The following is a 15,032-nucleotide window of genomic DNA, read 5'->3' on the forward strand; positions in this document are numbered from 1 at the left end:
CATAAGATCATTGTGACCTGTACTGGAGAACTGGCAGTGAGGGAGATACAAGTGGACAGATAGATATATGGTGCTTTTTATAAGAAGTGGAATCAGTGGATTTGGTGATGGGATATTCAGAGAAGGAGGGGACAGGGAAGAGATGTGAAGAATGATGCCCAAAATTCTAACATGAACAACTGTGAGTGGATAGTGGTACCATTTACTGAGGGGAAACACAGGAGGAGAAACATGTATGTATGGGAAGAAAGGGGTGAGTTCAGTTTGGGTAGATTGAGTTTGAGCCTGTGTGACACCCAAATGGAGATATACAGTAGAACAGTAAGTAATTTGTCTTGAAATGTTTTTGAATCATCTGAATGAAGATATCTAGAACATTAAAGCCGTGAGCGTGGGCTAGATCATCCAGGGAAATCAGTGTGAGAAGATAGCCTGGCATGGGAACTTGGAGAAACATCAGTTTTTAAGAGACAAGGAGGAGTCGCAAATAAGAACAAAAAGAGGTAGAAAGAAAATCAGGAATCCAGGGAGGAAGAAGTGGTTATGGTTTGAGAACTGCTCCTTAGCTTATTACTGTGAAGAGGGGCCAAAACCAAATTGGCATGAGTTGAGGAATAGAAAATGAGAAAGTAGAGAGACCAAATGTAGGTATCTTTTTCAAGAAGTTTGGCTGTAGAGGAAAGAAGAGAGGCAGGCAATTTATAAAAGAGTTTTTGCTTCTCATTTAATGTAGTTATTTTGTTGTTTTCATCCTCCTTACAAATGAGGGTTGCAGTGTTGGTTAGTCCCTTTAGACTCTCCAGGCTGTAGAAAGTGTTCGTCTTCTGGTCGGGCGTGGTGGCTCATAATCCCAGCACTGTGGAAGGCCAAGGCGGGCAGATCATGAGGTCAAGATATCGAGACCACCCAGGCCAACATGGTGAAACCCCGTCTCTACTAAAAATACAAAAATTAGCTGGGCATGGTACGTGCCTGTAGTCCAGCTACTGGGGAGGCTCAGGCAGGAGAATTGCTTGAACCCGGGAGGCAGAGGTTGCAGTGAGCTGAGATCATGCTACTGCACTCCATCCTGGCGAGAGAGCGAGACTGTCTCAAAAAAGAAAGAAAGTGTTCATCTTCCTTACAGTGAGCCGGTGTGATTGGAATGTCATAGTCATAGTCACTGTTGAACAATGTTAATACTTATACTCAATGGGTGAGTTTTCTTTTCTAGTAAAATAATTCTCTGAATGCTAAGTAAAAGTGATAAAATTACAAATCAAAATTTTTCTGATCATAAAAATTATAGACAAGATATTTTGTATAACTACTTGTTTTATTCATGAAGCCCTTGCCATCTTAATTTTTTCCTCATATTTTTCTCCCTCTCTTTCTTCTCCCCTTCACTCCTTTTTGTTGTAGGTGTGGCAGAGAAGACACAGCTTCTGAAATTGAGTGTACCTGCTACTTTTATGCTTGTGTCTTTAGATGAAGGTCCAGGTCCTCCAATCAAATACCAGTATGCTGAATTAGGCAAATTATACTCAGTAGTGTCACAGCTGATCCGCTGTTGCAATGTCTCTTCAAGAATGCAGTCTTCAATCAATGGTAAATTTGAATGCTCCATTCTTTACACTAGTTTTGTTTGTTTGTTTGTTTTGAGACAGAGTTTTGCTGTTGTTGCCCAGGCTGGAGTGCAATGGCGTGATCTCGGCTCACTGTAACCTCCGCCTCCCTGGTTTAAGCCATTCTCCTGCCTCAGCCTCCCAAGTAGCTGGGATTACAGGTGCCCACCACCACGCCCGGCTAATTTTGTATTTTTAGCAGAGACGGGGTTTCGCCATGTTGGTCATGCTGGTCTCGAACTCCTGACCTCAGGTGATCTGCCGTCCTCGGCCTCCCAAAGTGCTGGGATTACAGGTGTGAGCCACCATGCCCAGCCCTCTTTACGGTAGTTTTTAAATGCTGCTGGGCATATATAGTACTAAGAGTCTGGAGGAAGATTTTTGCTTTGGAATATTTTAGCCCTGTACCTTTTTTACGTGTTTAATGGGGGTCTTTTTTCTGTCTCCTTGTGACTGAGGTTGATACCATGTTTATGAAATAGTTTAAGAATTAACTTTTTAGGCTGGGCTCAGTGGCTCATGCCTGTAATCCCTATGCTTTGGGGGAGGCCAAGGCAGGAGAATCACTTGAGCTGAAGAGTTTGAGCCTGGGCAACATAGCGAGACTTCATCTCTACTAAAAATTAACAACAAAAAAGTTGGCTGGGTGTGGTGGTGTGCACCTGTTGTCCCAGCTACTCAGGAGACTGAAGTGGGAGAATCACTTCAGCCCAGGAGATCAAGGCTGCAGTGAGCTGTGGTCATGCCACTGCACTCCAGCCTAGGTGACACAGTGAGACCCTGTGTCCAAAAAAAAAATTAACTTTTTATATTTAGATTTTGTATTTTTATATCTTGGTATATCTATCTGATCATTATAATGCATAATGTTACTTTCTTCGTTGTGCTTAGGTAACTTGATTTAAAATGTTATTTCTCTAAAATAAAACATTTGGCCAGACATAGTGGCTCATGCCTGTAATCCTAGCATTTTGGGAGGCCGAGGTGGGTGGGTCACTTGAGGTCAAGAGTTCAAGACCAGCCTGGCAAACATGGCAAAACCCCGTCTCTACAAAAATACAAAAAAATTAGCCAGGCGTGGTGACGTGCACCTGTAGTCCCAGCTACTCGGAAGGCTGAGGCAGGAGAATCACTTGAACCTGGGAGGTGGCGGTTGCAGTGAGCTGAGATCGCCCCATTGCACTCCAGCCTGGGCGACAGAGCGAGACTCCATCTTAAAAAAAATAAAAAAAAATTATAGGCTATTTTCTATCGTGAAAGTTGTGTATTATTATTGTGAAGAAGCTTATTAGTTTTTTATTGGTGACAAATCTGTATTCTAGGTAATCCTCCTCTTCCCAATCCTTTTGGTGATCCTAATTTATCACAACCTATAATGCCAATTCAGCAGAATGTGGCAGACATTTTATTTGTGAGAACAAGTTATGTGAAGAAAATCATTGAAGACTGCAGTAATTCAGAGGAAACCGTCAAATTGCTTCGTTTTTGCTGCTGGGAGAATCCTCAGTTCTCATCTACTGTCCTCAGTGAACTTCTCTGGCAGGTAAAAGGAAAATAACATTTGTATGTTTATAATTTGATTTGTTATTCCTTTCATTAAGTTACTCACCATGTCTTACTTGTTTTTAGGTTGCATATTCCTATACCTATGAACTGCGGCCCTATTTGGATCTGCTTTTGCAAATCTTACTGATTGAGGACTCCTGGCAAACTCACAGGTGGATACTCTTTTTGTGACTGGAAACAATTAGGCTTGCCCAGGTGTTAGAGTTAACTGAAATTGACAGTCACCACATTTTTTTTAACCTATTGGAGTTCTAGTGAATGTTTTATCTTAAACCTAGGACAAGGGTAAATAACAGGTTCTCCCCTTTTCCTCAGAATTTTATTTCCTTTTTTATTCTTTTTTCTCACTGCCTAAGTTTCATACTTAATAAGCCTGTTTCTTTAGAATGACTTTTTTAATTAAGGAGGAGCTAGCTTGGGCATTTGGTAAATATTTGAATTTCATTAATGATGCCCGAGGATTATTTTATGATTATATTACATTTGTTTTAGAATTAGTCACTTGAAGCAACTTAGTCATTAGTCACATGAAGTATAATAGTATATGTAAAAAGTCTTCAGGTAAGTACGGTTTCCATTTTTCATGGTACTTATATTCTGTAAAGTCACCACAGACACTGAGTTAGCAAATACTGAACCATTACTCCTAGGAGGAAATACAGAATTAGGTTTCTATAAGCCTCTGTTTACATTTTTATCAACCAGTCAATACATAACCTTGTTGTATGTGTGTTTCTACTTAAAGTCATTTAATATATTTTGTTGACTCATAAAGTTCACAGCCAACAGCTCTGTAACTTAAGCCTGAACTTAAGCTTCTCAATGCATTCTGCATAAGGCACATCACAGCCTTCTTGTGGTTAGGAACATTAGATAGCACTTCAACATTATATACTTGGGTCATTTTAAACATAAAAATAACCAGCAAAAGCACAAATATGTGGAAAATGTGGCACTAAATACACCATGAAGAAGGACACTTGTTTACAGTTTAAGCTGAAACAAGAGAGAATGACACTCTTCTGGACTTCAGCTAGGAACGTTTGTGTTGGACAACTTGATATTTTTGCTGCTCTGTATATGTCCACAGATGACGAAGAAAGCACCTTGATGATTGATTTTGCAGTTATAAATAAAGTTTAGGAAGTAAGCGAATTCACAAATGTGGAATTCATGAATAATGAGGGGATCAATTATAATTAGTTTTTATGAGAACTTTTAGAATGTTAACTTTTTTCCCCCGTAAAAACTAAGGTTATCCAGCTTAACTGGCCCTCAAACTTTCACTAGAATTTTTCTATTTGTTTTTGGGGGTTTTTTTGTAGTAAAAGTTGAATATATTATCTTTAATCCCAAGAGTTATATAATAGATGATAAATTATGGTATTAGTTGACAGCACTGCCAGGTTTTAGAACTTCCCTTCCCACATGGAAGATAGTATAATAGTTTGTTTGGGAAAACAATTCAAAGTCTATGTCGCAGTTTGCCTCCCATCTGCCAAGGTAATAAAACAAACTTAAAAACAAGTTCTGTAACAACAAAATGCTTAAAGAGAAGTAACAATCTGGAGTTTTAGTGGGGATTGCGAAAGCCAGAATTTGCAACTTAGTATTTTCAAATTATCTCCAAATTTACCATAATAGATTTCAAACAAATACTGTAAAAATAGCATTAAACCAAAAATCAATTTTCGTGAGACACAAAAGATAGTAGCTCAGAATTATAGTCGTTTATTCAGGCAGTATTCAGTGCCCTTCTAAATATGTTCATAGGATTTGAAAGCTTCCTTCAGAGTAGATTTTAATGAAATCTAACTTTTACTATTTTCTTTTTTAAAAATGCTGTATTTCTGGGCACAGTGGCTTACCCCTGTAATAAGCACTTTGGGAGGCCAAGGCAGGAGAATTGCTTGAGACCAGGAGTTCAAGGCCAGCTTGACCAACATAGCAAGATCTTGCCTCTATTTTTTTAAAAAAGAAAGTACTGTAAGCACTTACAGTTTTAAACCAGTTAATCACATCTTAGCTCTTGTTTGATTAGAGCAAGTGATAATGGCAAAGACATACGTGCTAGATTAAATGTGGGAATTACACTTTTGTGTAATGAGATTAGTAAGATACTGTTAAATGAATCACTGGCCCAAACGTGAAAATAATTTTCTCATAATGAGCTTTTAGTTCATTCAGTAAACAATGTTCAAATATTTATAGAGTGTCTACCATGTGCCCAGCACTGCTTGGCATCAGGTAATAAGGCAAGTGAAGATAGTATTAATAAAAATGGCATTTGAGAGCAGTTGATGCTAATGGGGAGAAAATATGATATGGCAGAAATAATGATTTAGCACTTCATTGTTACTTGAAAAAACTGAAGGTAAAAGCAATTTATATGTAGTGTTTCAGATGAAACAGCAAGAGGGCCTGAACATGGTTGATTTGTCTGAAATGATTAAGCTTTGCAAAATTGTTGAAGTAATCTGTTTTGTTTGGAAATCATGAATGCATTTGATGGAGGAAAAAAATCTTACTTTGACTTTAAACATACTGTTAAGTAAAATACATAGTGTATATTAGAATCTTTAAATTCTCAGTGTCCAGGTTATGTTTTCTAATTGAGGTAAAATTTACATAACAAAACTCACCATTTCAAAGTATACAATTCAGTGACTTTTAGTACATTCACAATGTTGTATAGCCATTACCACTATCTGATTCCAGAACTTTTTTTTTTTTGAGAGGGAGTCTCACTCTGTCACCCAGGCTGGAGTGCAGTGGCGCGATCTCGGCTCACTGCAAGCTCCGCCTCCCGGGTTTACGCCATTCTCCTGTCTCAGCCTCCCGAGTAGCTGGGACTACAGGTGCCCGCCACCATGCCTGGCTAATTATTTGTATTTTTAGTAGAGACGGGGTTTCACCGTGTTAGTCAGGATGGTCTCGATCTCCTGACCTCGTGATCCGCCCACCTCGGCCTCCCGAAGTGCTGGGATTACAGATGTGAGCCACCGTGCCCATCCCAGAACATTTTTTTTTATTACCCCAAAAGGAAACCCCTACCCAATTAAGCAGTCACTCACCATTCCTTCTAACCCTGGCAACCACTAATCTGTTCTCTGTCTCTGTGGATTTGCCTCTTCCAGACATTTGGTAAAAACGAAATCATGCAATTTGTGTGTCTGACTTCTTTCACTTAGCTTAATGTTTTCAGAGTCCATCCATGTTATAGCATGTATCATTACTTTATAGCTGAATAATATTTTGTTTTATGGATATATATACACCACATTTTATTTACTGGCACATAATCTTTTTAACACAAAAGAAACAAGGCATGTTTGTGCCCCTACAATCATGTTTTAAGTTAGTTAGTTCAGGGAAAGACAGGACTAGTTGGCTTTGTATTATTACTCTGTTGTAGTTTGGGAGAAACTGAAATGAAATCCTGTGTTATTGGCAAATCAGCCAAATTGTACTATTGCCTGTCAAAATGCTTTGCCTGCCATGTATTCTCATTATTAGAATTCAAATACTGTACCTCCAAATTATGTCACTGAATCCTAACTTGCCTTCAGAGATGCAGTTTTATAAAAGGTATTGATGTGTAGCAAATTACCCTCAACTACAGCAGTCATAAACTTAGTTATAACTTTTTTAAAGTTTGCATTACTCTCGAGTGTCCTGAATTCACTTCAGGTAATGTGTTTAAATTACATATATGGCAGAATTATTTTGGACTGGTAATAAGTTAGTAAGAGCACAGACTCTGGAGTCACACTGCTCCGCAGCTATATGACCTCGGCAAGCTGTGTAACTCTGTGCCAATTTTCTCACCTGTTAAAAGTTTTAATAATAAGGCCAGGCGCAGTGGCTCATGCCTGTAATCCCAGCACTTTGGGAGGCCGAGGCAGGCGGATCACGAGGTCAGGAGATTGAGACCATCCTGGCTAACACGGTGAAACCCCGTCTCTACTAAAAATACAAAAAATTAGCTGGGCGTGGTGGCACGTGCCTGTAGTTGGGCTGAGGCAGGAGAGAGGCGTGAACCTGGGAGGCAGGACTTGAAGTAAGCCGAGATGGCGCCACTGCACTCCAGCCCAGGCCGTCTCAAAAAAAATAAATAAATAAAAAATAAAGGTTTAATAATAGTACCTATTGTCTAATGTTAGATTAAATGACTAAAAGACATTATTGAGTGGCACATAGTAGGCACTCAGTATATATTAGCTATTAGATTTTAGATGTTTTTATTTTATATCTGGTTCTCTTTCAGAATTCATAATGCACTGAAAGGAATTCCAGATGACCGAGATGGGCTGTTTGACACAATCCAGCGCTCTAAGAATCACTATCAAAAAAGAGCATACCAGTGTATAAAATGTATGGTAGCTCTATTTAGTAACTGTCCTGTTGCTTACCAAATCCTGCAGGTGAGGATTTTTTTCTTATAATTTTGTAGAAATCTTAATCAGAATTAAGGATTCTGTTTTAAAAGAAGAGAATCATGAGAACTTGGGGTTGTCATTTTAAGTTAACTTTGAAGTATTCCAAATCCTCTTATCTATATGGTTTTATTTTCTTTTGCAGGGCAATGGAGATCTTAAAAGAAAGTGGACCTGGGCAGTGGAATGGCTTGGAGATGAACTTGAAAGAAGACCATATACTGGCAATCCTCAGTACACTTACAACAATTGGTCTCCCCCAGTGCAAAGCAATGAAACGTCCAATGGTTATTTCTTGGAGAGATCACATAGTGCTAGGATGACACTTGCAAAAGCTTGTGAACTCTGTCCAGAGGAGGTAAAAAAAGCCACCAGTGTGCAGCAGATAGAAATGGAAGAGAGCAAAGTAATTCTTTATTTTATAGGCCAGTGTTTATGTATTAATGATATTATTAAAAGATTATGTTGAAGTTTTGGGTTTTGAAAAATGTTTATTCGGCTGGGCATGGTGGCTCACGCCTGTAATCCCAACACTTTGGGAGGCCGAGGCAGGCGGATCACCTGAGGTCAGGAGTTCAAGACCAGCCTGGCCAACAAGGTGAAATCCCATCTCCACTAAAAATAGAAAAATTAGTCGGGCGTGGTGGCAGGCGCCTGTAATCTCAGCTACTTGGGAGGCTGAGGCTGGAGAATGACTTGAACCCAGGAGGCACAGATTGCAGTGAGCGGAGATCGTGCCAGTGGGCTCCAGCTTGGGTGACAAGAGTGAAACTCCATCTCAAAAAAAGAAAAGAAAAGAATGTTTATTCTATGTCATTTTAAGCTAATGAAGGGAGCTTTCTTTTGGAGAAATTTCTGTGAAATTGCCTGAAATGTAGTAGTTCTGAGAGAATGCAAATCAGGTTTTTTGTTTTGTTTTTTTTTTTTTTGTTTTTTCCCCAAGTTCTTTATCTGCAGTAAAAGAAAAGTTGCTAATGGGTCAGTTTTGTAGATTTTTAAAATTTATTTCAAATAGAAAAAGTTAAAAGTAAACTTGAGTTTGCCTACGTAATTTTTTATCTTGAAATATTCAAAATTAGGAGCCAGATGACCAAGATGCTCCAGATGAACATGAGTCGCCTCCACCTGAAGATGCCCCATTGTACCCCCATTCACCTGGATCTCAGTATCAACAGGTAAACAGGAGTCAGTTTATGCTTTTATCCCCTAGAACTGGGTTTTATGCTTAATTTTAGAGGATGGCTCAATTGTTTGTTGTGACTACAAAGTAAGAAGTAGGATTATCTAGACTAGCTTTGGGAGCATGATCCAGAAGAGGGATGGTTTGGAGTGGGGGTCATGGTGTAACATGTTTGAACTTAACCACTGTAGGGTTTTCCTTGTCAAGAAGGTGTCCTTCTTGTGCTAGTAGTTAATAAAACTGTATGAGAATTTATATCAACATAAAATGATCATTGTTTAGTGCAAAGGATTGTGGTGACATTTCCGGTGAGGTAAAATCTTCACCTGGATTCCAAAAACATTATTAAGATATGGCAATGAAGTAAGAAGTCCTTGGTTACTTAGCCACAGGTTTCAGTGATGGTAAAAATCACTGGAAAAAAAAGGATTTGGGTAGATTTCCATAGGTGATTAAAGTAAATAAACTAGTAAATAGCAAAAGAAATGAGATGAAGAAACATTCTAAATGATAACTTTTTCTTTCTGAAACCAAAATGTGACTAAATCAGCTCTTGTGAGGCAGTGGTACTCAAACTTGCACAGGCGTGAGTCTCCCTGGAAGGGTTGCTCCAGCAGAGAGCTAGATGCTACCCTAAAGTGTCTTATTTCATAGGTCTTCAAGGGGCTGGAAAATGTACATTTCTAGCAAGTTCCCAAGTGATGCTGCTGGTGGTCCAGGAACCATACTTGGAGAAACATTTCAGGCATTCTTTCTTACATTTCACTGTGTACATAGAAGCAAACTGAATAGTTAGGAAGTACACATTCAGCGTACTTATTTTCATCTATAGAAAGTAAAGCCTGGCCAGGCGCGGTAGCTCATGCCTGTAATCCCAACACTTTGGAAGGCTGAGGCAGGTGGATCACCTGAGGTCAGGAGTTTGAGACCAGCCTGACCAACATGGAGAAGCCCTGTCTCTACTAAAAATACAAAATTAGCCGGGTATGGTGGTGGCGCATGCCTGTAATCCCAGCTACTCAGGAGGCTGAGGCAAGAGAATCTCTTGAACCCAGGAGGCAGAGGTGGTGGTGAGTCGAGATAGCACCATTGCACTCCAGCCTGGGCAACAAGAGCGAAACTCCCATCTCAAAAAAAAAAAAAAAAAAGTTAAGCCTAAAATCTTGGCTTGGCTGATGGAGCATGTACAGAAAAATGAGAGCACTGTAGGGTTCAGACATTTTAAAAGGTTAAGGAACCAAATCCACAAGGAAGGTTAACTTCCTTTGACCCTGAGAAAGCTCTTATGTTAATCATGCCTGGTTACTTTATCATCTTGAACATTGTTCTGTTTTTAATCAGCATTATTGTGAGTTCAGGGTTACTGCTCCTATATATCTTACATCATGGTTAGTCAATCGGATTTAGCATGTGGAAGAGTCAATAGATGCTCATAGATCATTCTCTGAAAATTTTTTACCAAGAGCAACAGTGGGTTAATCCTTTATTTGCCAGACTTGAGTCTAAATAATTTTTGGCACTAAAAATCACTTTGGCCAAAGATTTATGTGGACCTACACAATCACTGCTCTTATTCAGGGTTTTGGGGTTTGCATTTACACTACGTTTTTCAAGCCTTTTTTTGTTTTTGTTTTTGTTTTTGTTTTGCACTATAGTAGTCCAAGGGTATTTACAGAGTAAGTCCCAAGAATAAGAGTATACATTTCCAGAGACTTCAGACCATGATTTTGAAGTTGTTTTACTATGTGAAAAGTTTTAACATACAGATCTTTTCTCCTTTCCCAGAATAACCATGTGCATGGACAGCCATATACAGGCCCAGCAGCACATCACATGAACAACCCTCAGAGAACTGGCCAACGAGCACAAGAAAATTATGAAGGCAGTGAAGAAGTATCCCCACCTCAAACCAAGGATCAATGAAATGCACATAATTAACTGGTTCCATCAAGACTGTGCACCCAGGCCTTACAGTCCAACCTTTTTCTGTGTCTGGCTAATATTTAAAACTAGAAAAACTATTCCTAATCAACATGGAGTGGAGAGTTTATTCACTGTCTTATCTGCAGAAATTTGCTGTCAATATATAACCCGCCTGCAGTGGAAAGTGTATAGTGTTTTGTAATAAATGGCCTGATGCTAATGTGTAAATGGCAAAGGTGTATATAGTATATTAATGTTGACTGTTAATTCTTAAGCAAGAAACTTTTTTCTTGATGAGACTCACAGATCTACACAAACTACAAAAGTTAATTTTCTTGTTACACCCACTGCACTCTGCAACCAGTGTTGCCTGCCTCATGGCAGTTGGATCAGCTCCTTTACAAAAAAGAAAAAAAAAAAACCAACAGCAACAAAACAGAGCCCATCCATGTCAGCCACACCAATAGTTTCATGTTAATTCTTTGCCACTGGAGTCAATTTTGCTATGAGCAATGTAAGGCTGGTAACCTTTAAATTATTTGGTTGATGTGGAAAATTGGTGATGTAACACTGTTTCTAGATTTTTTTCATTGCCTTTTTATTCTGATATTAGGTTAATCACTTTGAAGCTATAGTTATGCTGTAACATTTAGCATGGCTTCACACCAAGTTAGTGTAGCCAATGAGGAAAAAGTTACCATAATGACAGCAGTTGTCCGAGAAGTGACAGCTGTATTACTCAGAGCTTTTACTTCTTACACCTAGAATATTAAAATATAAAACAAGGGGAGAAATGTGACAGTCTATTTTCAGTTGCACATATGTTCCTTATATATAATGTTTGACAGTTCAATCTCTGGGTGGAATAAAGAACACTTACGTATCAGTAATGGGAATTTTTAAAGATTTAAAACAAATATGCAAAAATTTGCTATGCCAAGATGCTGGAGCATAATATAAGACTGTATTTGGTGTGCTTGTTTTGTTTCTTTGGTAGAGTTTATTAGGTGAATCTTCTAAAACTTTCCTTCTGTTGGATCCCAGTGACGTGGAAGTCATCAGAACCCCACGGTACTTGGAGTACCTCTCTGCACCAAGATAGCTGGCTGATTTTCTGCTCAGTCACAATTTTACTTGAAAGCAAGAATTGTCCTAGCTCCTTTTCCATTATTCCAAAACGTTTAACGTTCAAAGCAGGGTCTCATTAAAAAAGAAACTACTGGTTGATATAATTGAGATATTACAATTTCAGAATAAACATTTGATTAAAAATAAGGAAATCCTCAGTTCATACTGTATTTAAAAGAGAATTGGTAACTTGAATGTGTGTAATTTTTTGGAACCTGTCTAAAAACCAAATACCCCTGCAAACAGATACAGCCCACCCTATTCTATTTAAATATTTTGCTGTTTTATTTTATAGAAATTATTTTGCTGAATTCACAAATAGAATTTGATTTAAGAAGAACTTTTTGTCCTGTGGTGTGTTTTTGGTTTTTTTTTTGGTTACTTTTTTTGTCCTTTTTTTTTTTTTTTAAAAGAGGACTGCATATTAAAATTCATTCTGTGCATAGCATGCCTAGGCATGACACTGATTCAGGATTTCAGTCACATCAAGTTTTTGTGCACAGAAAGATTTGACCTTTGGCCCTCTACTGAAGATTTTGAGAAATCAGGATGTTGACACTGTAAAAGTTTCCTAACATAATCTTGTACTTTTTGTATGTTTTTTATATACATGTATATTTAATGAGCACAAGCTTGGTTGTATTTTTTACAATTCAGTTAATAGGGAAATGTTTTGTCAAAAGGCTACACTTGGAACTGAACAAAGCAGAAACAAAATTGAGCATTGCATTATTTTGTGATTAAAAGGGGCAGGTATTTAAGATAAAGCTTTGGGTATCTTATTTGTAGTACTGTATAGTCAACCTGTGCTTCTAGGTGTTCCTGTAGGACATTTTGACACCGATACTTTGAGTGAAAGTCACACACGGTGTTTGCAATTCCAACTGATTTTTGTTTTGTTTTTATTTTTTTGTTGTTTTCTTCTTTGAGATGGAGTCTTGCTCTGTCACCCAGGCTGGAGTGCAGTGGCACAATCTTGGCTCACTGCAACGTCGCCTCCTGGGTTCAAGCGATTCTTCCGCCTCAGCCTCCCGAGTAGCTGGGATTAGAGGTGCCCACCACCACGCCCAGCTAATTTTTGTATTTTTGTAGAGACAGGGTTTCACCACGTTGGCCAGGCTGGTCTTGAACTCCTGACCTCAGGTGATCTGGCCGCCTCGGCCTCCCAAAGTGCTGGGATTGCAGGTGTGAGCCACCGCGCCTGGCCCCAGTTGATAGTTTTTTTAATTTAAAAGTTCCTCAATTCCAAGCTCTTTAAACGAGTGAAATAGGTTAACTTTATTTGGATGAGTTAGGTGTACCATCTCACCATCTGAGAGGAGATTTATATATTTCCTGCTGCTCCTTAACAAAATATGTAATGTACTTAAAAACTTTAACGACTTCCTAGTTGAGAGAAAACTTGACATATAAAAGGCTGTGAATTTTTCTGCTTGGAGGAAGAGCCCAACCTTGGTTGCTTTGAAGTTACAAGCCCCCTTGTGCCAGGTGAGGGGCTTGTGAGTCATTTTTGTCTCCATTTGAGGAAGAGTGGTATTCGTTGTGACTAGGAGCAAGGGAAAGTGGAGTTATTTTTGTTTGTGCAAATTATTTTCTATATTTAACTCAAGCATTAATGTATAACCAGAAATTTAAAGATGCATGTTGTTGCAAGAGCAACATAATGGTGATTTTGAGGTCTTTTTCTGAACACAAGTGGCACATTTTAAATTTCAAGTCTTCAAAGTGCCTAAGGATTATTTAGTTCTCCCTCAACTGATTTTTTGAGCCATATATTTCCTATTTTAAATGTTTGCGGAATCGCCAGTCTTCCTTTGAAAGAAACAGCCCCCAGAATTCTAAATGACACGATTATAGAAGACAGTAGAATGTGTTACCATAAAGACTGAAGATATTTTAGTTGTAAAACCATGTGAACAAGGGCTTTTGCCCTATTGTATCTAAGTATTTCAGTGCACAACTTGTTAAACCATGTTGCTGCTGTTTCTAAGCCCTCCACCAACTGAACTTTCATGTTTAGCATTGTAGAGGCAGAAATAACATACTAGGTTTTTTTTTTCTTTCATTGATTTTTCTCCTGGTGATAATTTCCCAGCCTTGTGTCTTTTAGCTGTTGTGTATACAAATTTAGAATTAAAATGTTTTCTATTTTTTTCATGATTAACTTAGTGAATAACTTAAATCCTTAATCCTCGTAGTGGTTAGAAAGATGAGGAGACTTTTTTGACTTACATTTGTAAATGAAAACAAGTCTGTGAATATTCAGATGACTACTTCGAAGTAATTCAGTTTTTTTATTAGTATTTTTCCAGCTTATGTTTTCCCATGAGCTATTTTACTTTGCTGAATTTTGTGGGTAATTTGGTGGATATATCCTGCCTTATTTAGGATTATAGCTGGATAAGAAAATTGCCTTTTCATTGTAAGTGCCCAGTTTTGGTCTCTAGTTTGAAGGTACTACATACTGCCGATAAAGGAAAACACTCCCCTACACCCCAGTTTTTGTGTTACCAAGAAAAAAAAAACAGTATTGGTTTCATAGTAGGACTCAACCAGAATTGGTCCTACATATATGTGAGTGTTCAGTTTTTGCAAATAAGGTTTTTGAGTGTGATAAAACACTACAGAAGTGCTAAGTGTATTGAGAATTTGCTGCTGATTGTATTTATAACAATTACTTGACGTTTGCAGAAATTTAGCACTTTCCCTCCAAATTTATAGGTGTAAGAGAAGCGGGGGCAAGGTGCACCACATTTTAAAACTGCAAATGTGTGAAAATTTATTTAGAGATTCAGATTCCTAAAAGGAAATTTCACCACCCAAGTCATGCACTTCTTAGCCTTTTACAAGCCAACAGACTGACATGAAGATTGTTCACAGTTCCTAAGATTTAGCACATATACAAAAATAAAACTTTATAAATTCAATTTCGGTTTTCCCTTTATTTATTAATACAAGATTTCTAAACAAGGTAGATGTGTAATAGAGCTGAAGGGAATTTTTTAAAGGGAAATGTTTATGAGGAATTCAGCCATCATTGTGTATATCCAAAGTGGATTCACACCTAAGGACCTCAAAGAAATGAGTTGTGATCTAATTGCAGACTTTAGAGTTAAAACTAAGATTCAGCAAACTGTGGTGTTTCAGTTCTCTTAAACTGGAAATAAAGCAGACCACATGTTTTGAGGGGAGCCA

At 38.2% G+C, this 15,032-nt stretch overlaps 1 protein-coding gene across 8 annotated transcripts in view; it reads left to right on the forward strand.

Annotated features, from left to right (window-relative positions):
• USP9X (ubiquitin specific peptidase 9 X-linked) overlaps positions 1–14,764 on the forward strand; it is a 151,135-nt gene extending 136,371 nt beyond the window's left edge. For 4 of the 8 annotated variants that reach the window (NM_001410748.1, XM_047442548.1, XM_005272675.5 and 1 more), the window contains 7 exons: positions 1,402–1,587; positions 2,927–3,147; positions 3,234–3,322; positions 7,438–7,594; positions 7,752–8,012; positions 8,686–8,781; positions 10,572–14,764. In NM_001410748.1, the coding sequence (NP_001397677.1) occupies positions 1,402–1,587; positions 2,927–3,147; positions 3,234–3,322; positions 7,438–7,594; positions 7,752–8,012; positions 8,686–8,781; positions 10,572–10,709 (1,148 nt within the window). In that variant the 3' untranslated portion in view covers positions 10,710–14,764. The remainder of the gene's footprint in view (positions 1–1,401; positions 1,588–2,926; positions 3,148–3,233; positions 3,323–7,437; positions 7,595–7,751; positions 8,013–8,685; positions 8,782–10,571) is intronic. The other 4 variants (NM_001410749.1, XM_047442550.1, NM_001437534.1 and 1 more) reach the window with 1 other exon arrangement.

The sequence above is a fragment of the Homo sapiens genome, chromosome X (genome assembly GCF_000001405.40).
Source record: "Homo sapiens chromosome X, GRCh38.p14 Primary Assembly".
Taxonomy (NCBI): domain Eukaryota; kingdom Metazoa; phylum Chordata; class Mammalia; order Primates; family Hominidae; genus Homo; species Homo sapiens.